The sequence below is a fragment of the Homo sapiens genome, chromosome 3, assembly GCF_000001405.40.
Source record: "Homo sapiens chromosome 3, GRCh38.p14 Primary Assembly".
NCBI lineage: Eukaryota > Metazoa > Chordata > Mammalia > Primates > Hominidae > Homo > Homo sapiens.
This window is the reverse complement of record NC_000003.12, coordinates 112,946,351-112,970,367: the sequence shown is the minus strand read 5'-3', so window position 1 is coordinate 112,970,367 and position 24,017 is coordinate 112,946,351. Positions and strand designations below refer to the sequence as shown.

The 24,017-nt window shown below is 36.3% G+C and overlaps 1 protein-coding gene across 4 annotated transcripts in view; it reads left to right on the top strand.

Moving 5' to 3' along the window:
• CD200R1 (CD200 receptor 1) overlaps positions 1–24,017 on the top strand; it is a 53,899-nt gene that overhangs the window by 4,736 nt on the left and 25,146 nt on the right. For 2 of the 4 annotated variants that reach the window (NM_138806.4, NM_138939.3), the window contains exon 2: positions 22,444–22,512. The exons of the other annotated variants lie outside the window; for them this stretch is intronic. In NM_138806.4, the coding sequence (NP_620161.1) occupies positions 22,444–22,512 (69 nt within the window). The remainder of the gene's footprint in view (positions 1–22,443; positions 22,513–24,017) is intronic. 4 annotated transcript variants of the gene reach the window in all.

Below are 24,017 nucleotides of genomic sequence, written 5' to 3'. Positions count from 1 at the left end.
TCAGCCCTTTTTCCCCCCAGGAAGAAATGATATTGTTCATGCATTAACACTAAGCAACAACTTCAGAGTTTTTCTACATAGAATTTATATGCCTAGACCCCATTCTAGGACCAAAATCTTTAAGGAAAGCAATACCAAAAAGTTCCAGGATTAAAGCAGGGCTAAAAGTTTTTCTATTTCTTTTTTGAGACAGGGTCTTACTCTATCTATCACTCAGGCTGGAGTGCAGTGGTGCAATCATGGCTTACTGCAGCCTTGACCTCCCAGTCTCAGGTTATCCTCCTGTTTCAGACTCCCAAGTAGCTGGGACTACAGGTGTGCACCACCACGCCAGGCTAATTTTTTTTTTTGTATTTTTTGTAGAGACAGGGTTTTCCCATGTTGCCCAGGCTGGTCTTGAACTCCTGGGTTCAAGCAATCCTCCTGCCTTGGCCTCCCAAAGTGTTGGAATTACAGGCGTGAGTCACTGTACCTGGCCAGTTTTTCCACTTTTGAAGAAATAATTTTCTTCAAAAATGTCTGTTACTTTGAGTTATTGTTGCTGTTGCAGGTTCTCTTGGAAGTTAGACTCTGAGATAGAGTTTTGTGTACAGTATGCTTGTGAGCAGAGGGAGAAGTCTACCTGCAATCTCAACCAACTGACACCCTCACTGACCCCACAGGGAGCTCAGGAGCTAGATTGGCCTTAGAGAGGCCCTGCATTGAATAAAAATGGCTGTTCCTTTATAACTCCATCTAAATCAGTCGTTGGATATGGGCTCCCCTGGAAAGGGTCTGACTTTGGTCTAAGTAACTGAAGTCATCCCTGGAGAGGCTGAAAACTGAAGACTGTCTGTTGACAGTGATCCTAGTGGCAGGAACAAAAAGTCAGAGGCAACTGTTGGTGGCACATACTATGTCCACTCTAGTTGTCATTTCTAATACTCTTAATTCCTTCTTGAATTTCCAAGTTTCTACCTGGTATTATTTTCTTTCATCCTGAATAATTTCTGTTATTGTTTCTAGTAGTGTAGGTCTGCTAGTGAGGAGTTCTCTTAGTTCTTAGTTCCCTTTTTATACATATTTTCCCCAATATCTTGTCTCTCTGTTCTTTTGATTGAATAATTTCTATTGCTATATATTCAAGTTCACTGACAATTACAATTTCCTTTCTCCTCTTCATTCTTCTGTAAAGCCCTAGTTAATATATTATTTTAGATATTGTATTTTTCAATTTTAAGATTTCCATTTATTTGTTAAAAGTTTTTTTTCTCTGCTGAGATTTTTCTGTGTTTTTATTCATTCATTGTGAGTATATATTTCTTTATGTCACTAAGCATAGCTGAATGTTGCTGTAAGACTCTTGTCTGAGAATGCGAGTGTCTGGGTCAACTTGAAGTTGTTAGTCTCCCTTAATGTATTTTCTCCTAAGCATAGGCCACATTTTCTTGGTTCTTTGTAAATTAAATAGTTTTATTTGGGTTTTGAATGTTGCACAGATTCTGTTATATTGCTGTGTTGATATTTTACTTGGTTGGACCCAAACTGCAAACTCTACCCCTTGGACAGCATCTCAAATCTGAGTTCTTTTACTGGTAGCTAATCTGCTTTGACTGTGACCTGCAATGTGTGGTTTAGAGTCATCAGAGATATGGGTAGAGTGTATGCAGAATTTGGAACTCTTTTACTCTGACTCTGTCACTTTTCAGAGAGTAAAGTTGCCCTAAAATCTGCCTGCTGGTTCTTCAGAAAACTGTGGGCTTTCCATTAGAGTAGCTGCCTAATGTGGTATCATCTGCAGCCCTCTCTGGGACTAACATCGGTAAAAATGGGGAAATAATGGGAACCTACACCCACAACTCTGATCCCCTATTTCCTTCTTCCAAGCATTGACACCCTTCAAGAATTTTTCTGCTTCCTCCACTTTCCAGTAACCTCAGGTAGTTGTTTTTATATTTTGTCCACAATTTATAGTTCTTACCTGTGGAAACTCACTGGCCCATAAAGAAGTGAAACTTTCTTCAAATATACATATTTTAAAATATTATTGTATTTTTACAACTAATATTGACTTAGTGGTTATATTGTCTTGGATGTTAAGATTGAATATATTATTATGCTTTTTTGCTTTCTAAATGTTACCCATGCATTGAATGTTTTGGTACATTTCACTTTTCTCAGTAAAATTTCGTTCTTCTTTCCCATAATTTCTAGTAAAATTTCTAGACACTAATTTAGATACCAATAGATACCAATTTCTAAATACAAATATAACTCTGTGTTGGGTCTAAAGATCAGTTATGTAATTCTAACCACTAGCTGTTTCATCTTTAGAAATTGCTTAACTTCTTTTGACAGTAATTTCCTCATTTGTGAAATGAAGATGTATGACACTATTAAGAAGTATAAAGCCTTCACAAAGGAAGTACTTTAGGAACCTTCAAATTAAAAATCTTTCATTTTATACATGGGGCAAATAAAGCCCAAGTGTGTATGTGGGATTGCTAATCATATCAAACAGCTTTCTGGGGTGTGAGCTGAGTTTTGAACACCTTCATAGTACAAAAATTAGAGGGGAAAGGGATGGGGCAAGTGTGTGGGAGAAAAATCTATGTCTTTTAGATGTGATACACTTGAAATGACAGCAAGTATTCAAGTGGGGACAAATTTCAGCTAAATGTTTGAGATTCTTGCTTAGGAAAAATAAGTCAAAGCAAAAATGTGGGTGGGTTATTCTGTCAGCCAGTAATTTAGAGTGTCTGTCATGTATCAGTCACTGTGCTTCATGCTGTGGACATTTGATCAAGACAGACATAGGTCCTGCTCTCATGGAATTTAAATCTGGTGGGAAAGATAGATATTAAATCAATTACTGCAAATAATTAAACAATGCGCAAGTGCATAAGGATAAATATAGGGTGACATAGAAATGTGTAACTGGTGAGTCTAATCTGGTTTGAGGATCAAGTTAGGCTCCTCCAAGGAAGTGATGTTTAAGATGAAGATGAACAGAAACAGCGAGGTAAGAAGAGTTGAGGGATAAACATTCCAGGCAGGTCAAACAGGCTTAATGAAGGACAGAGGGAGCTAAACTATGACTGGAGTGGTGAAAACAAGAGGAAATCACCTGTATAGAGATCTAGTTGAAGTTCAAGGGGTTAAGGAGCAAGAGGAGAGAAAGTGTAAAGAGAAAAAGCAGCTGAGACTTTGGTGAATACTGACATTACGATGCCCAAGGAGAAAGATAGCTTGTAGAAAATATATGAGAGGAGGCAGTGAAGATAGGGAAAGAGACAGAGAAGGGAATGCATGGGTGTAGTGGGAAGGCTAGGAAAGGGGTTTTAGAAGGAGAAGAAAGTGGTTAATTGTGTTAAAATCCATCAACAACTTAGGAACACCAGCACTGAAAAGAGGCCAAAAGCTTGACTATAAAAGGGCTGGTGACCTTGAAAATTGCAGTTTGAGTAGATAGACGTGGGAGCAGCGAGATTGCTGGTATTGAGGAGGGAGTGAGTGGGAAGGAAATTGAGGCTGTGGGCACAGACCACTCATTCAAGAAGTTAGGCAGCAAAGAAAGGAGAAGGGATCCTAGCTAGAAGGGGAAGTAAGCATCTAATAAAGTTTTTTTTTTTCTACCAACATAGGGGAAACCTGAATGTGTTCAAAGGATATTATTTGAGAAAATTCAGTGATTTGGAAGAAATATTTTTCCAACCAGTATGTGTTTATGTAGTTTTAAGGTGTTCAGTAATTTCTTTTCTTTTTCTCTGCCATTTTGTTACCTTACCATGAATGCTACCTTTTCCTAAAGGTTTATCCATTACATAATATGAGAATATCTGGTTATATGATTCATTTTGTGGTGCTGATAATTCCTTGAAAAAAATGTCCAAATGGTAAATGTTTACAGATCCCCAATAATAAAATCTAGCTATTTTTATTCTTCACAAAATTATCCTACTTATCTTTAATTGGCTCTTCCCTAGTTGTTCCCCAGGGATGGTTCTAAACCAGTGATTTTAAGGTAGTTGCCAGACAGAACTCCCTATAGAGCCTAAAATTGCCTATAGAGCTTAAGCCTGCTTAATCAGACTTTTCCAGTGTATAGGGATCTAGACTTTCACAAGTCTTTTCAGGGTTTTCTGATGGGTGCCAGGGTTCAGAACACTGCTCTAGGTCTTTCCTAGTTTCCTCATCACCCCAACTATCCTCATTTCCTTTGCAGACAGCTGCTCACCTCCTGATTTACCATTGTCCAGTGTGGACTTCTTTAATGTCCACAGATGGTAAGGTTTCTGAGAGCAGGAACCTTGCCTCATTCAAGCTGCCATTCCCTGAGCTCTGCCGAGCTACTTGCCACTAAGTAGGTACTAACAAGTGTTTGTTAACCTGCTTCCTCAAAATGTTTCTTGTGTCTGTAATAATTCTTAACCTTTTTGTTCGCCTCTCAGAGATGAAATATCAATCTCTTTAAAAGCAAACCTGCTTTTTGTCTCATTCCTTCTAGTACCTCTGGGATCCTGCCTGACCAGTTAGCTTCCTCATTCTAGTAACTTCTGGCTCTCCCTCTTTCTGTCTACAAACATGCTGTGTTCCCCTTTATTATTAAATATCTTTTTTTTTTCTTTTGAGATGGAGTCTCACTCTGTCGCCAGGCTCGAGTGCAGTGGTGCGATCTCGGCTAACTGCAACCTCTGCCTCCTGGGTTCAAGCAATTCTCCTGCCTTAGCCTCCCGAGGAGCTGGGACTACAGGCGTGCGCCACTGTGCCCAGCTAATTTTTGTATTTTTAGTAGAGACGGAGTTTCATCATGTTGTCCAGGATGGTCTCCATCTGTTGACCTCGTGATCCACCTGCCTCGGCATCCCAGAGTGCTGGGATTACAGGCATGAGCCACCATGCCTGGCCTGTTAAATATCTTCTTGATCCCTCATAGCTCCTGATGTTGCCCCATCTCTCTCTCTTTCAAGTTTAACATGAAAGGATGAAACCAGTCTCATTTCTCCCATTCTTTCAAGGTCAGCATTCTTGAAAGACTTAAGTCTACATTTGTTGACTCCATTACCTCTGATCAGCCCCTTTCAATCTGGTTTCCACTTGTACTTCTTTGTTAAACTTACTCTCTTTCAGATCTTAAGGTCACTGATGATCTTCTTGTTACCAAATCACAAAGCTTCTTAATTCTTAGGTTAAGACTGTTCTGCATATGATTTAATCTTGATTCTTCCTGTCTTGAAACCTCCTCTTTACTTGGTATAATAGTCCATTTTCACACTGCTGATAAAGACATACCTGAAACTGGGCAATTTACAAAAGAAAGAGGTTTAATGGACTTACAGTTCCACATGGCTGGGAAGGTCTTATAATAATGGTAGAAGGTGAAAGGCACATCTCACATGGCTGCAGACAAGAGAAGAGAGCTTGTGCAGGGAAACTCCCATTTTTAAAACCATCAGATCTCATGAGATTTATTCACTATCACAAGAACAGCATGGGAAAGACCTGCCCCCATGGTTCAAATACCTCCCACAACACGTGGGAATTTAAGATGAGATTTGGATGTGGACACAGCCAAACCATATCATTCTGCCCCTGGACCCTCCCAAATCTCATGTCCTCACATTTCAAGACCAATCATCCCTTCCCAACAGTTCCCCAAAGTCTTGATTCATTTCAGCATTAACTCAAAAGTCCACAGTTTAAAGTCACATCAGAGACAAGGCAAGTCTCTTCTGCCTATGAGCCTGTAAAATCAAAAGCAAGTTAGTTACTTCCTAGATACAATGGGGGTACAGGCATTGTGAAATACAGTCATTCCAAATGGGAGAAATTGGTCAAAACAAAGGGGCTACAGGCCCCATGCAAGTCCAAAATCCAGCAGGGCAGTCAAATCTTAAAGCTCCAAAATGACCTCCTTTGATTCCATGTCTCACATCCAGGTCATGCTGATGCAAGAGGAGGGTCCCCATGGTCTTGGGTAGCTCTGCCCCTGTGGCTTTGCAGGGTACAGCCACCCTCCTGGCTGCTTTCATGAGCTGGCATTGAGTGTCTGTGACCTTTACAGGGGCAGAGTGCAAGTTGTCAATGGATCTACCATTCTGGGGTCTGGAGTATGGTGGCCCTCTTCTCACAGCTCCACTAGGCAGTGCCTCAGTAGGGACTCTGTGTGGGGGCTCCAACCCCACATTTCCATTCCATACTGCCCTAGCAGAGGTTCTCCATGAGAGTCCTGCCCCTGCAGCAAACTTCTGCCTGGACATCCAGGTATTACTGTACATCCTCTGAAATCTAGGCAGAGGTTCCCAAACCCCCATTCTTGACTTCCATGCACTGGCAGGCTCAACACCACATGGAAGCTGCCACAGCTTGAGGCTTGCACCCTCTGAAGCCATGGCCTGAGCTGTATGTTGGCCCCTTTCAGCCATGGCTGGAGCAGCTGGCACACAGGGAACCAAGTCCCTAGGCTGCACACAGCATATGGACTCCTGACCTGGCCCACAAAACCATTTTTTTCTCCTAACCCTCCAGGCCTGTGATGGGAGGGGCTGCTGTGAAGGCCTCTGACATGCCCTGGAGACATTTTCCACCTTGTCTTGGGGATTAACATTCAGCTCCTTGTTACCTAGGCAAATTTCTGCAGCTGGCTTGAATTTCTCCTCAGAAAGTGGGATTTTTTTTTTCTATGACACTGTCAGGCTGCAAATTTTATCAACTTTTGTGCTCTGCTTCACTTATAAAACTGAATGCCTTTAACAGCACCCAAGTCGCATCTTGAATACTTTGCTGCTTAGAAATTTCTTCTACCAGATACCCTAAATCATCTCTCTCAAGTTCAAAGTTCCACACATCTCTAGGGCAGGAGCAAAATGCTGGCAGTATCTTTGTTAAAACATAACAAGAGTCACCTTTGCTCCAGTTCCCAACAAGATCCTCATCCCCATCTGAGACCACCTAAGCCTGGATTTCATTGTCCGTATCATTATCAGCATTTTGGCCAAAGCCATTCAACAAGTCTCTAGGATGTTCCTAACTTTCCCACATTTTCCTTTCTTCTTCTGAGCCCTCCAAACTGTTCCAACCTCTACCTGCTACCCTCCAAAGTCAGTTCAACATTTTTGGGTATCTTTTCAGCAGTGCCCCACTCTTCTGGTACCAATTTGCTGTATTAGTCTGTTTTCACACTTCTGATAAAGACATACTTGAGACTGGGCAATTTACAAAAGAAAGAGTTTTAATGGACTTAGAGTTCTATGTGACTGGGAAGGCCTCACAATAATGGTGGAAGGTGAAAGGCACATCTTACATGGCAGCAGACAAGAGAAGAGAGCTTGTGCAGGAAACTCCTGTTTTTAAAACCGTCAGATCTTGTGAGACTTAATCACTATCATGAGAACAGCATGGGAAAGACCTGCCCCCATGATTCAAGTGCCTCCTACTAGGTCCCTCCCACAACACATGGGAATTCAAGATGAGATTTGGGTGGGGACACAGCCAAACCATATCACTTGGCTTTGTGGCATTGCATTTATATCCTACTTTTCTTCACTGTTTTTGTAAAGTGCAATGCCTCCAAGAGATCTCTAATTATAAATGTTTTCAAGGCTCTAGTTTTGGCCTTTTCTCTAACATCAGAGACTGCAATTTGGCAGCTCATGGGTTATATCTGGCTTGCAGACACTTTAGCTGATACATGTAATTTTTTTTAAAAAGTTAGCTGCCAATTAATAATAAAATTTGGACATTTTACCTATAATCCCTGACCTAGTGTCTGGGGTGGCAATAAGGATTAAGCCCAATGATGCAGGTAAAGTACTTAGTGCTGCATCTTCATTTATAAGCATTCAAAAATGACAATTTAATGATATTTTGTGGTTTTCAAAGCTCTTCTTGTATATTATTTGATAACATTTAATTAGCCCCCTACAGACCAGCTTTTTGGTTGTTTTCAGTTTTTTTAAATTACAGTTTCAAAACTGTGTCAGATTTTTTGGAAAACAATGCTAGAATTAGTATCCTGGTACACATATCTTTGCATATGTTAATATGCATATGTATTCAGTGTCTACATATCCATTGAATGTATTGTCCTTTGTGATCAGTGATACACATTTACACAACATCTGCCTTAGGTTAGGGAACATGTTTGTCTTCATTAAGTAGTTTTGGAGTTTGTGACAGTAATTGCCTCAAAAAAATACTCCCAAAACCAAAAATTAAAACCCAAAAAACAAAACAGGCCAGTAAGATGGCTTTTATTAGCAATACACCCTAATAACTGCCACAGACTTTATATTGCCTTAAAAAGTAGGGCCAAATTTATTAGCATAATACTTACTGCTTTCTAAATTTTGTCCTTCCATCAAATTCATTATTGAATTGTTGTTTTGAAACTTCCTACTTTTCTAAACACTTCTCACCTTTCTTTTTATAACCCATCTGTATGTTTTATTTTTATCCCTATGTTGTACCTAAAGAGTAGAATTATAATTACTGTGTCACCTTTAACATATTTAATCTTTTGTCAGCCTGTTCATACCTTTGCCCATTTTTTCAGTTGAGTTGTCCATCTCTTTTTTTATTGGTTCATGTGTTTTCAGCATATTTTTTGAAGAAAATTAATCTTTCTTTGTTTTAAATGTTGCAAACATTCCCCAGGTTTTTGCTTGGCAACATTGTTTTATGTATTTTTCTTTTTCTTTTTTGTCATACAGAAGTTTCAAATTCTCTCTAGAGTCAGACTTCTCAATATTTTTCTTTATGGTTTCCATGTTTTATATCAGGATTAGAAAGATTTCTTAATTGAAGGTGAAAAACTGCATCAGTTTGCCTGGAACTTTTTTCCTAGTTTTAGCATGGAATGTCCTGCATCCCAGGAAACCTCTCAGTCTGGCAAACAACGATGTTAGTCAGGCTGTCTCTTAAGATTAAAAAAAACAAAAACAACAAAATTACTTATATTTTCTTCCAGTACTTTTGTTTTTGTTTCTTATATTTAAATCTTTTATTTATTTTATTTTGGTATGAGAAGTGAAATAAGAATCTGATTTTGTTTTATTTTCCCACATGGCTAGCTAGTTCTTATAATAGTATTTATCAATGACATATATAATCATCTTTCCCTCCAGGAATTTGAGTGGCAAGTGGTATCAGATACTACATTCTCATATATGTAGATGAAGCAACTAGGGTTTAGAAAGTAACCCCTGCGAGATTCCAGGGGTAATAAATGAAAGGGCCAAAATATTAGTCACTTTTCTTATTTTAATTTTGAAATTTTTTTCTATAATTGTCTCTGCCAGAACTTTGAGTTTTCACCGCCCGCCTTTCTTTTTTTTGCTGAACATCTAATTTGGTGTTCACATCTGCTACTAACTAGATGTGTTTAAAAATTAAAATCAGTTTCATAAAGTGTCGGAACATGAAACATACAGCATAATCAATTCTTCAAATTGTGTTTTAAAATGCTAAAAATAAAAAAGTAAGTACTAATCTGTACTTTTTGTATTTCTTTGTACTTTAGTTTTCTTTTATATTAACATAAAATATATATTGCATTTGATTTACATACATTTTAAATAATAATTATACTGTGAATACTTATGTCAGTTAAGAACAGACTACTGCCATTTCCTCCCCAGTTATATCCCCCAACCTCTGCGTTAAACGTAGTCATTATCTTTTGAGGTATAGTTATTCCCTTTGAGGTATAGTTACTCCCTGCTTTTCTTTACATTTTATCATGTGTTTGTGGAATCCCAAACAATAACATTTATATTGTCTTTTTTTGGTATTGGTGCAGAAACGGAATCATACTGTGTATATGATTTTATAACTTCTTTCATTTATTCATTATTTTAGAGATTTATCCATGTTTAAGTTTGTATTTGTTGTTCCTTAATATAAATAACTTTTATCCTAAAATTTCAAATGTCTGCAAAATAGTTTGTTCCCTAGAAAAATTCTGGTTCATAAGTAACAAACATGATTTTACAAAACAAATCTCATATTTACGATTTCAACTTATTTCCTTGTTGGAAGGAAGAACAATTAAGATAATATGCTGTGAGACATGTGAAGGAGAGAGTTTTCATTTGAAAACCATGTTGCATTTCATATTGTTACAATGGCAAACATTAATTTTCCAGGAAATTCATAGTAAAAGTTTCTGTGTTCTATTGACTTTACCATACTGGTGATGAGGAAAAAGCCATATGCTTAGTGTAGCTACAGAAAAGTTGCTCTGTCAGCCTAATTTGAATTTCTGAATCTGTTTGTGAATAAGATCTCAGTTACAAAGTTGCATTCATTTAAAATGAAACCCTGAATCTTTAGGAGAAATATATACTGTGTAATTACAGTGGGCTTAAAGCTTCAGTTTGTAATGTACTTTGCATACCTTTCATGAGTAATTCCTTATTTTTAAAGTAAGAAAGATAGTACATGTTTTGCTGAAGGGAAAATGAGAGCATATAATTCGTTTAGTTATCTAAAAAGATTCAAGAAAGAAGCAAGAAAGGAAGAAGTAAAAGTCATATTTTCAAGCCATTAGAAATTGTTTAATGCTTAATCCATGCATAATTCATAGTGGTTCATCTCTACATTCATTATAATAACTTTGAAGATCTATTAAAGTTTGAAAGAAACTTTGAAACTTTGAGACTTATTGAAGTTTGAAAGAAAATAGACTTCAAGGGTTAAAAGCTTGACTCACCAAATGTAGAGTGAAATAATTTTATTTGGTTTTCCTCAGGTAAAATGCCAGGATATTTTTAGATTTCAATGTATATTTATTTTATGTTCTATTTTTTGAAGTACTGTAGTAAATTCATTAAAATTTAAATCACAGTAAAGTTTACAATAAGCAATTAGAATGAATTCTACTTAGCTCAGTACCAGCACAGAGGCCCCAAGTCCTATAAAGAAATGTCCATAGAAATGTCAAAATAAACCATTATACACTGTTCTCTTTTGCAGCTAATATGGTTATCTGATAAAGTCATAGCCACATTCGTTAGTCCACAGTTTTGCCCCAAGTTGAGTTTCAGTTTGAAGTTCATTTATCAGACTCCTAACTTATCTGTTTGTATTCCTCCGGAAGACCTGCAACTGAAGGAAAGGGCAGAACTTCTTTTTTATTTTCCATCTCCATCATTAGAAATAATACATGAATATTAGCAACAATGTTAACTATTTAAGTATGGTATAATACTTGCTCTCTTTTGGTTAGTAATAGTTACCGAATTAGGGGTTTTTAACAGGAATGGTGACGTTGCAGAAATGTCTATCTCTAAGTTTTTTTTAGAGAGTAGAGCATGCAGAGCACAGCATTTTACATTAAATAAAAACTGCTTAACATGACAAGAAAATCATGTGCTGTTTCTGAGAGCCTTTTTTTTTGTCTCACTGGAGGAAACCTCCATGAAGTATGGGTCTGCAGGGTCATGCCTGTTTTTATGTGTGGGTGTATATGCTTGCTCAGGCATATGACAATAATGATTTGGGAAAGGAAACTTCTGGTGCTCAAAGTGAGTAAGAGGTTTCGCTAGTAGTAAAATCACGAAAACATTCTTCTTTCTACTGATGATTTTGACTTAGATAGAAGTATTTTTTAAAAAACATTATTTTCAGTGTGAAAGATCTCTGTTTATATTTTGTTTTGTGTTTATTTGTGTGGATGCATATTCTAATGTTATGTGTGTTAAAACCCAATGTTTCTGATGCTGTTTTTAGTTATCTCCTTTCAGCTTTATGGAAGAATAATTTATGTACAATTAATTGCATCAGTTTAAAACATGTAATTTAATAAATTATGGCAGTTGTATATACCTGTGAATCATCACCACAAACAAGATACAAAACATTTTCACCATTTCCAAAATATTTCTCATGTATCTTTAGTCCATCCCTTCCTTCATCCTCATTTGCGGGCAATCACTGATCTGTTCTTTGTCACCAGAGATTACTTAGCATTTTATATTAGTAGCAGTATTTTTTGTAGTATGTAGTATTCTTTTGTGCCCATCTTGTACTTTCAATTAGTAGAATGATTCTGAGATTTGTCAATGTTGTGTTTTCCTTTTTGCTATTGAGTCGTATTCCTTTGTGTGGATAATTGATTGATTTAACTGTTAATTGACCTTTCAGTTGTTTCCAGTTTTTTTGGCAATTTTGAATACATATTTGCAAATAAGGCCACTGTGAACATTTATGCATAAGTCTTCTGTGGATATGTTTTCATTTCTCTTAGATAAATACAGTTGGAATGAACAGGTAATATGGTGGGCACATGTTTGAATTTTGAAAAAAAATCTGCCAGAAATATACCAGTGTAGTTTACATTATTTTACATTCCCACTAGTAATGTATGAGAGTTTTAATTTCTCCACATTCTTGCCAGGATTTATTATTGGTCTTTTTAATTTTAGCCATACTTATAGGTGTGTAATCATTATCTCACTATGTTTTATATCTGCATTTATTTTATGGTTACTAATATTGAACATCTTTGCATGACTCTATTGGCCATTTTAATATCTTTTTATTTTTCATGAGGGGTCTGTTCAAATCATTTGCCCAGATTTTAATTGACTTTTAAAGTTATTGAATTGTAACCGTTCTTTACATATTCTACATAGCAGTCTTTTGTTAGATATGTATATTGCAAACATTTTCTTTTACTGTATGGTGTGTCTTTCATTATCTTGATGATATCTTTCTAAAAGCAAAATATTTAAATTTTGTTAATGTCCAATTTATCAGATTTTCTTTCATGGCTTGTTCTACTTATGTCCCAATAAATCTTTGCCTATGTCAAAGTCAGAGATGCTCTTATATATATTCTTCTAGGGGTATTACAGTTTTAGCTTTTACATTTAAGCCAATAATCCAATTATAGGTAATTTTTTTTGTGTATGTGTAAAGGGTTGAAGTTCATTTTTTTTGCATATGTATAACCAGTTGTTCCATCATGTGTTGTTGAATAACTTGTAGTTCTTTATAAAATTGCCTTAACACTTTTATTTTAAATCAATAGATTGGTTGGAGGGTGGAGCACAAAGGTGGAATAGGACTCTTTAGCAATCATTCCCCCATATAAACATCAATTTGAACAACTATTTGCACATGAAAATACCTTAACAAGAGCTAAAGAAACCAAGTGAGAGAACACAGTGCCTAGTTATAAGTATATTAATAAGAAAAGATATATTGAAGAGGACGTCAGTTTTAAATTACTTGTGTCACCTCTTACCCCATTCTAGACAGCACAGTGTGATGAGAAATACTGTGTACTTGGGGGAAAGAGGGGAAATAAACATAGAACTTTGCCTTGGACCCCAACTCTGGGCCCACCAGAGTAAAATCCAGCACTGGGAAGACTCCAATGACCCCTGACTGCAGGCTGGTGCCTATGGACATCAGACTCACCCCAGCACGAGGTGGGAACCTATAACCCATGTGAGGCAAACTCAGTCAGCACCTTGCATCACTGCCAGCTGACTAGAGTGTCCTTGGTCTCTGAACAAACCTCAGAGGTAGGCATGCCTCAGTGGCTACTTGGCATTGGGTGCATTCCAACACTAAACCAATCTCGTGGCCAAGGGATTCCAGCCTGGCCATAGTAGTACTAGGCTTAGGATGCTCCTAGTGCTCCAATGGCCACAGTGATCTGGGGCATAGGGATCATGCCAGTAGGTCTTCCCAGGATCTCTGGAAAAGCTTACTGTTGGAAAGCATTCCCACACAGAGTCAATCTATGAAGTGCCTACTTCTTCAAATGCACAGACATTGAGCATGGCCACAAGGATCAAGAACCATCAGGGAAACATGACATCACCAGAGAGACAAAACAAAGTGATAGTGACCAACCACAAAGACATGGAGATGTATGAATAGCCTGACAGAGAGCTCAAAATAACTTTTTAAGGAAGCTCAGCAAAGTTCAAGAAAACACAGAGAAACAATTCAATGAAATTAGGAAAATATTAAGTGGCCAGAAAAGGAAATCTAATAGAGAGATTGAAATAATTTAAAAAAAAACCAGAAATCCTAGTGCTGAAAAATACAATGAAAAAAATGAAAAATACAATGTAGAGTATCAACAGTAGAATTATCAAGCAAAAGGAAGAATCTGTGAACTTGAAACAAGTTATTTGAAAATATGTAGTCATAGGAGAAAAAAAAGAATGAAAAGAAATGAAGAAGGCTCACAGGATTTGTGAGACAGCATCAAAACAACAAAATGTTTGAGTCATTGGAGTTCAAGAGGGAGAAGAGAAAGATAAATAGATAGAAGACTTACTTAAGGAAGTAATAGCAAAAAACTTTCCAAACCTGAAGAAAGATAAAAATATTCAGGTAAAGGAAAATCAAAACTCTACAATCAGATTCAATCCAAGTAAGACTACCCCAAGACATATTATAATCAAACTGTCAAAAATCAGAGGCAGAGAGAGGATCCTGAAGGCAGCAAAAGAAAAGAAGCAATAACATAACATAAAAACGGGCTCAAATGTACCTAGAAGTGGACTTCTCAGCCGAAACCTTATGGGCCAGAAAAGAGTAGGATCATATATTTAAAGTACTGAAAAAAAAAAAAAATGAAAAACCCTACCAATCATGAATACTTTAACTAGCAAAACTGTCCTTAAGAAATGAAGGAGAGAGAGACTTTCTCAGATAAACAGAAGATGAGGGAATTTCTCACCACCAGACCTGACTCATCAGTAGTGGTGGGCACCTGTAATCCCAGCTACTCGGGAGGCTGAGGCAGGAGGATCACTTGAACCCAGGAGGTGGAGGTTGCAGTGAGCCGAGATCATGCCACTGCACTCCAGCCTGGGTGACAGAGCGAAACTCCGTCTCAAAAAAAAAAAAAAAATGTGAAGAGAGACCAAAAAGGTCTTTATATATTGATAAAGAGGTCAATTTAGTAAGAGCATATAACAATTGTAAATATATATATGTACCCAACATTGAAGCACCTAAATATAAAAATCAAGTATTAATAGATCTGAAGGCAGAGATAGACTGCAAGACAATAACATTAGGGGACTTTAGTACCCCACTTTTAGCAATGGACAGACCATCCAGGCGAAAAGTTCAGTGAGACATCACATTTAAACTACATTGTAGACCAAACGGGCCTACCAGACATACACAGAACATTCCATCCTTCAGCTACAGAATTCACGTTTTTCTCAACTACACATGAAACATTCTCTAGGATAGATCATATGTTAGACCACTTTGTGAGTGGAAAAACAACTCAAATTGGTTTTCCTTTGCTCTCACACCATAACAATTAACACTGATGAGTTCTGTGACCAAAAGTTTGTTTGTCTGTTTTTTTCTACACACCAAACAATGAATTCTTCAGTGGACACCAGCTGGTTGTATCCTGATTCAATTCAATTCTGATGCTATATACTTGAAGGAAACATTAGATCCCAAGCCTCAGGTTATTTTTCCTGTGCTTCTGACTGACTGGCTATAAGACTCGGTTCCCATGACCCCCTCCTTTGGTTCGATTAATTTTCTAGAACAACTCACAGAACTCAGCGAAATACTTACTTATGTTTACTAGTTTATTATGAAAGATATTACAAAGGATACAGATGAAAAAGTGCATAGGGCAAGGCATGTGGGAAGGGGTGCAGAATTCCCATGCTCTTTCCGGGTACACCACCTTCTAGTAACCTCCATATGTTTAGCTATCTGGAAACTCTCTGAATGCAGTCCTTTGGGTTTTTATGGAGGCTTCATTAGATAAGCATTATTTATTAGCCATTGGCCATTGGTGATCAACATAACCTTCAGCACGTTTACCCTCCCCAGAGGTTGAAGGGTGGGGCTGAAAGTCAACCCTCTAGTCATGCCTTGGTCTTCCCAGTGACCAGCCACCATCCTGAAGTTACTAACCACCAGTCAACTAATGAGCATACACAAAAGACATCACTTTGGAGACTTTAAGGATTTTAGGAGTTGTGTGTCAGGAAACAGGGTCAAAACCCAAATGTATATTTTACAATATGACAGGCACAAAGCAAGTTTTTAACAAATTTAAGAAAATTGGTATCATATCAAGTATCCCCTCCAACATTATGGTTGGAGGGGATATATCATTATGGATATAAAGCCTGAAATCAATAACAGGAGGAACTTCACAAATACATGGAAATTAAACAACATACTCCTGAACAACCAATTGGCCAATAAAATTAAAAGAGAAATTAAGGACATTTCTTGAGACAAATGAAAATGGAAATACAACATACTAAGACCTATGGGATACAGCAAAAGCAGCTATAAGAGGAAGATTTATAGCAATAAGTGCCTACATTAAGAAAGAAGAAAAATCTCAAATAAACAACCGAATGTTGACCCTTAAGTTAAACTGAGCCCAAAATTAGTAGAAGGAGGCAAAGAATAAATATCAGAACATAAATAAATAAAATAGAGACTAGAAAAATCATGAGAAAAAAACTAATGAAATGAGTTGCTTTTTAAAAAGATAAATAAAATCAACAAACCTATAGCTGATAAATTGAGAAAAAAAGAGAGAGACTCACATCCATAAAATGAGAATGAAAAAGGAGACATTACAACTTATACTGTAGAAACACAAAGGATCACAAGAGACTGTTATAAACACAATTATATGCCAACAAATTGGATAAGCTAGGAGAAATGGATAAATTCCTGGACATAGACAACCTACCAAGATTTAATTATGAAGAAATAAAAAAATTGAACAGCCCAGTAATGAGTCAAGAGATTAAATCAGTAATAAAAAATCATCCATCAGAGAAGTCCAGCAGCTGTTGGCTTCACTGCTGAATTCTACCAAGCATGTAAAGAAGAACACCAATTATTTTCATTCTTCCAAAAATTGAAGACGAAGGAATACTTCCAAAGTCATTTTACGAGGCCAGAATTACCCTCACACCCAAATAAGACAAGGACGCCAGATAAAAAGAAAACTACAGGCCAATATCCCTGGTAAACATAAATGCAAAAAATCTTTAACAAGATGCTAGCAAGCCAAAATAAATAGCAGATTAAAAAGACCATTCATCATGATCAAGTGGACTTCCATCCCAGGGATGTAAGGATCAACATACACAAATCAATAAACATGAGACATCACAGGAACAGAATGAAGAATAGAAACCAGATGATCATTTCCATAGATGCAAAAAAGCCTTTAAAAATTCAACATCCTTTCATGATAAAAATTCTCAATAAATTAGGTATAGAAGGAAAGTACTTCAGTGCAATAATGATTATACATGAAAAACTCACAGCTAGCTTCACACTTTATGGGGGAAAATGGAAAGCCTTTCCTCTAAGATCAGAAACAAGACAAGGATGCCCACTCTTGCCGCTTGTATTCAACATGGTACTGGAAGCATAAAGTTGTTAATAATATTTCCTCATAATGCTGGAAGTTCTAGCTGGAGGAATTAGGCAAGAGAAACAAATAAAGGGATCCAGATAGAAAATAAAGAAGTCAAATTGTTCCTGTTTGCAGACAACATGGTCTTATATATGGGAAACTCAAAGACTCCACGAAAAATTATTTATTTATTTATTTATTATTATTATTATACTTTAAGTTTTATGGTACATGTGCACAATGTGCAGGTTAGTTACATATGTATACATGTGCCACACTGGTGCGCTGCACCCACTAACTCGTCATGTAGCATTAGGTATATCTCCCAATGCTATCCCTCCCCCCTCCTCCCACCCCACAACAGGCCCTGGTGTGTGATGTTCCCCTTCCTGTGTCCATGTGTTCTCATTGTTCAATTCCCACCTATGAGTGAGAATATGCGGTGTTTGGTTTTTTGTTCTTGCGATAGTTTACTGAGAATGATGATTTCCAATTTCATCCATGTCCCTGCAAAGGACATGAACTCATCATTTTTAATGGCTGCATAGTATTCCATGGTGTACATGTGCCACATTTTCTTAATCCAGTCTATCATTGTTGGACATTTGGGTTGATTCTTAGAACTAAAAAATGAATTTAGTAAAGTTGCAGGATACAAAATCAACATTAAAAATTAGTAGCTTTTCTATACACTAACAGTGAACTATCTGAGAAAGAAAGAAAGAAAATCCTATTTTTAATAGCTACAGAAAATAAAATACTAAGAGATAAATTTAACCAAGGAGATAAAAATCAATAAAGTATATATATGTGTGTCTATTTCTGGATTATGTATTATATTCCATTGACATATGTGATTATCTTTTAGCCAAGACCAGATTGTTTTGATTACTGTAGCTTCAGAGTGTAGCTTAAACTTAAGTAAATTTTTCTCTCTTTTTTTTTTTTTGTTATTCTTTTTAAACAAACAGCTTGGCTATTCTAGGTTTGCATTCATATATAAATTTTAGAATTATCTTCTCAATTTACACAGAAAAGACTACTACATTTTGATTGAGACTGTTCTTGAGGAGAATTGACATCTTAATAATATTGGGACTTTCCATTATATAGGGTTTATCTAATTTACCTCAGCAATATTTTACAGTTTTCAGTATACAGGTCTTACACAACTTTTATTACCTTTTTTTCCTAGGCTTTTTTTTTTGCATTATTGTAAACATTTTTAAAATTTCATTTTCCAATTGTTTGTGCTAGTATAGAAAAATGTAATTGTTTTAAAATATTATTAGTATTTTATATTATTACTTTACTAAGTTCATTTAGTTCTAGGAAGAGAAGAAAACTTCCTCAAACTGTTAAAGTGCATCTTTGAAAATTCTATGCCTAATATTTTACTTCTTACATAGTGCAAGATTTGATGTTAATATTTTGTGAAAAAATTTCATAATGTGTTTTTTAATTTGTAAGGTGTTTGTATAGTTTTGATATATGGTTAATTCTACCTTCATAAAATGAGTTAGTGTTCTCTCCTTGATTTTCTAAAAGGGTTTTTGTGTAAAATTAATATTACTTCTTTCTTACATGTTTGCTTAAATTTGTCAGTGTAGCCAATTTGATAGAAGGCTTTTTATCAACAAATTCAGTTTTTTAAAGATATAAGGCTTTTCAGTTTTTTTATTCTTAAGTAGGTTTCAAAAGCTTTGTCTTCAATGAATTTGTCCATTTCAACTGTTACTGAATTTGATTAGCGTAATATTGTTAATAATATTCCCTCATTTTTCCTTTCACGAATGTAAATCTATATGAATGACCCTTCCTTCCTTCCTGATATTAGAGATTTGTGTTCTATTTTTTTCCTTATCAGTCTAGTTGTTAGTTTATAAATGTTGATTATCTTTTTAAAGAACTAGCTTTTGATTTCCTTAATTTTTTGCATTGCTTGTTTCCTCTTTTATTGATTTCTGCTCTTATATTTATTATTGTGTTTTCTCTCTTTTGTTTCTTGCTTCTATGGGTGAATTTTACACATTTCTTCCTTTAAAATTAGCACTTAAAGGTATTACTTTTCCTAAAACCACTGTGTTAGCTGCTTATTTCAAATTTTGGCATGTTGTATTTTCATTATCATCCAGTGAAAACTTTAATTTCTTCATGAATTTCTTCTTTGAGCAAAGGGTTGCTTAGACGTGTGTTTGATTTCTAAATATTTGGTATTTTCTTAAAAATCTCATTGTAATTGATTTCTAATTCAATTCTGTTTTGGTTGGAGGACATCTTTTATATGACTTCAGTTTTTTTTAATGTTTTTGAGACTTGTGGCACAGAATGTGGCCAAACTCAGCGAATATACGATGTGCACTTGCAAAGAATGTATTCTGCAGATGCTGGGTTAGGGTACTAAAAATATGAATTAGGTCAGTGTGGTTGATAACTATATTAGTTGTTTATAACTATGTAATGAATTACCCCACAACTTAGCAGCAGATAAGAAATATGTATTTTGAAAGATAAAAATACATCTTAAGTTGATATTGATACTTTTCATTAAAATTTAGGACTGAGGATTTTTTTTTCCTTTTTTTTTTTTTCTTTGACGGAGTGTCACTCTGTCACCCAGGCTGGAGTGCAGTGGTGTGATCTCAGCTCACTGCAACCTCTGCCTCCCGGGTTCAAGCAATTCTCTGCATCAGCCTCCCAAGTAGCTGGGATTACAGGCATCTGCCACCACATCCGGCTAATTTTTGTATTAAACTTACTTATTTTACATCTATTATCTTCTTTCTTCCTCACTATAAAATTGAACAATACCAACATACAGACATACCTATCTCTCCACAACCTCACCCAACAGTGTATGTTGTCAAACTTTTGGATTTTGCCAGTTATAGATGAGAAATGGTATTTCCAAATACTTTTAATTTGGATTCCTCTTACCATGACTGATGTGAAATATATTTTCATATGACTAAGAGATATTTTTACTTCTTTTTCCATAAAATTTCTGTCCATATGTTTAGTCTGGTTTGCTATAGGTTTGGGTTGATCTTTATTTTTAATCCAGCTTCATCTAGCCACGTGCCAGGGAGCTGTGCAGGCCACTGTTCTAAGCCCATGAATTCTGACAATTGTCTCTTCCCGAACTTAACTATTCCCGTTCAGATCTAGAATTCATAGTGTCTGTGTCCAGATGCCTTTGTAATCCTGATTTTATGGACTTGCCATGCGATCTGCTTTTTTAAAAGTTTGTCTCTCAGTGCTCTTGCAATAACATGGCTTAAACTCACTTCAGTTTGGGTTAATTTGGGTTGTGTATCTATCCTAGCATATTTCTTAGGCTCTAACCATTGATTTCTACTCATAGCAGTAAGACTTACTTGCACTAAGATTCATAATTGGGTAACTGAAGCAGCTTACTAGCCAGGTAGTCTTGGTCAAATTGCTTAATCACTTAATCTACATTTCTTTATCTGTAAAATGAAAATAATCATATCTGCTAGTTATAGAGAGATGGAAATAAAGAACATAGGCAAATTACCCAAAATCTATTCCTGTTATACTCATTCCATAAATTATCTTAAAAGAACAGTTTGCTAAAGAAAATGGCAGCTGAAAGGGGCAGTAGATTAAAACTTTTTCCAGAAAAACACTGAGCATTAAATTTTACTCTAAAAGGTGTCTCTTTGCCAGTCAGATACACTCACTATAGATAAGCTACGAGTGTATCTTTTCCTTGTGAACACATTCCAGGAGCTTTGTGCCTTGCACAGTTAGAGCCTGCCGATATCCAGCCTCAACTCCAATTACACATCCAGGTTTTCTCACTTCATGGCAATACTAAACTATTTATAACTCTTGTAAATTTTTATTTGGCTTTGTACCTCCTTTAAATGCCATTATTTTTGTTTGCATTTTCCCTTCTGTCTTCCTGGAAAACTCCTCATGTACTTAGATCCAGCTAAAAAATTACTTATTATAGGAAAGCATGCCTAATCTCTTACTCCTGTTTTCCTGGAATTTAAACATCTCTTCTTTTAAACTTCTATACATCACAGGCAACTTCGATCATTGCACTGAAAACTTTGCATTATAATTGTTTCCCTAGCTACTGCCTCTCCTGGATCTTAAGCTCTTGGAAAAAAGGGGATATTGTTTATTATGATATCTCTGTGCCTAGCAGAGTACTTTGCCAATAATTGCTGCTTAAAAGATGTGTACTACCAATTCTCACTAAGAGCTTGCCTTGCAGAAATGTGAACTTAATAGGCCATTGTCTATATCACGGGTCCCCAACCCTGGGGCTGCAGACTGGTACCAGTCCTTGGCCTATTAGGGATTGGGCCGCACAGCAGGGGGTGAGCGGCAGGTGAGTGAGAATTGCGGCCTGAGCTCCACCTCTTGTCAGATCAGTTGGAGGCATTAGATGCTCACAGGAGCATGAACCCTATTGTGAACTGTGCATGCCAGGAATCTAGGCTGTGCATTCCTTATGAGAATTGAACTAATGCCTGATGATCTGAGGTGTAACAGTTTCATCCGAGAACTATCGTGCTCCCTTCCTCCTTGTCCGTGGTGGAAAAATTATCTTCCTCGAAATGGGTCCCTGGTGCCAAAAAGGTTGGGGACCGTTTTCCCATCATAGATTCTATGATGTGACTTCAACAATGCTTAGGAAAATCCTTTTATTCCATACCAGCAGCCAATCAATAGTCCCCACTAAACTTTTTTTACCTCCTCATTGGTGCTTGAAAAGCCTAGTAAAATAATTTCTTCCACACTCAGAGATAGACTAAAAGCCTGGAAGAAGACTTGAATATAAAGCAAGAGGGGGGTGATGGGCACTCTGGGCTTAAAGCAGGACTATGCCAGAGTCAGGAAGAGAAAGTCAAAAGTTTATACTGGGACAAATTTTGCCAAGACTTTTGCTTGGCTGTCATAATTTAGATATTCATTGGCAACTGCAATACAAAAATAGTCTGAAGAATGTGAAAAAATATGATTTTAACTAGGAGTCAGATCTATTAATGCATATTTCTCTCTCTACCCCCTATGTCTTTTTCAAAATTCAGAAGCGGAGGGTGCTGCTCAACCAAACAACTCATTAATGCTGCAAACTAGCAAGGAGAATCATGCTTTAGGTAATGTGCATCTTTTAACAATAATTCTAGTAGGGGAGTGCTTGATGTCCATATAGGTTTTACATTTTTGGATCTTGAATTGTCTCATGCATTATCTGTATTATCTAAATGATATTATATTTAAGAGTGTTAATAAATTTTTCATTCTGAAATTATTTCTATGCTTATTTAGTACCTATTTTAAGAATGGGATCACTAAACAAAACCAATGGCCTATTCAAAAAATTTGTTATTCAACTTTTGAAACCTAGATTATTATCCCAGAGCACTTTTTAATAAGCAGATCTTAATAGGTGTTAATGATTTATTTTCTATATCCTCTCTCAACCCTATTTTCTCCAAAATTTTTGTTTGCCATTTTAATTAACATTGAAACAGAAAAGAAAAGTTAACAGACTTTATTTTTTTAGAGAAGTTTTAGGATCGTAGCACAATTGAGTGGAAAGTACAGAAATTTCCCCTATGACCTCTGCCCCCACATGTGCAAAGCCTCCCCATTATCAACATACCTGACTAGAGTGGTACATTTGTTTCAATTAATGAACCTACATTGAAACATCATCATTATCACATTATCAAAGTCCAAAGTTTGCATTAGAGGTCACTTTTAGGGTTGAATATGAATGTTTTCAGGCAAATGCATAATGACATGTCTCCACCATGATAATATTTTATAGAGTAATTTCACTGACCTAAAAATCGTCTCTATTCTACCTATTCATCCTTCCCTGCCCACTAACCCCAGGCAATCCTGGTATACTGTCTCCATAGTTTTGTCTTTTCCAGAGTGTCATATAATTGGAACGTTACAGTATGCAGCATTTTCAGACTGGCTTTTTTCACTTAATAATATGCATTTAAGTGTTCCCCCATGACTTTCCATGTCTTAATGGCTCTTTTTTTTTAGTACTGAATAATATTCCATTGTTTGACTATACCACAGTTTATTCATTTGCCTGGTAAAAGACATCTTGGCTGCTTCCAAGTTTTGGCAATTAGGAAAAAAGCTGCAATTAACACCCATGCACGGGTTTTTGTATGGATGTAAGTTTTCAACTCTTAGGGTAAATACCAAAAAGCATGATTGTTGGATTGCATGGTAGGAGATTGCTTAGTTTTGTAAGAAACTGCCAAACTGTCTTTCAAAGTAGATGTACCACTTTGCATTCCTGCTACCAATTAAGTTCCTGTTGCTCCACTCCTCGCCTTTGGTGTGTAGTGGTTCTCATTGTTGTTTTAATTTGCCTTTCTTTGATGACATATGATGTAGAGCATCTTTTCATATGCTTATTTTCCATAAATATGTACATTTTCCATATATATCTTCTTTGGTAAAGTGCCTGTTAAGATTTTTGACCTGTTTTTTAATCTGGTTGTTTGCTTGCATATTGCTGAGTTTTAAGGTTCCTTTGTGTGTTTTGGATAACAGTCTTTTATCGGATATGTCTTTTGAAAATACAGTTGGCCCTCTGTATCCATGGGTTTCAAATCTGTGGATCCAACCA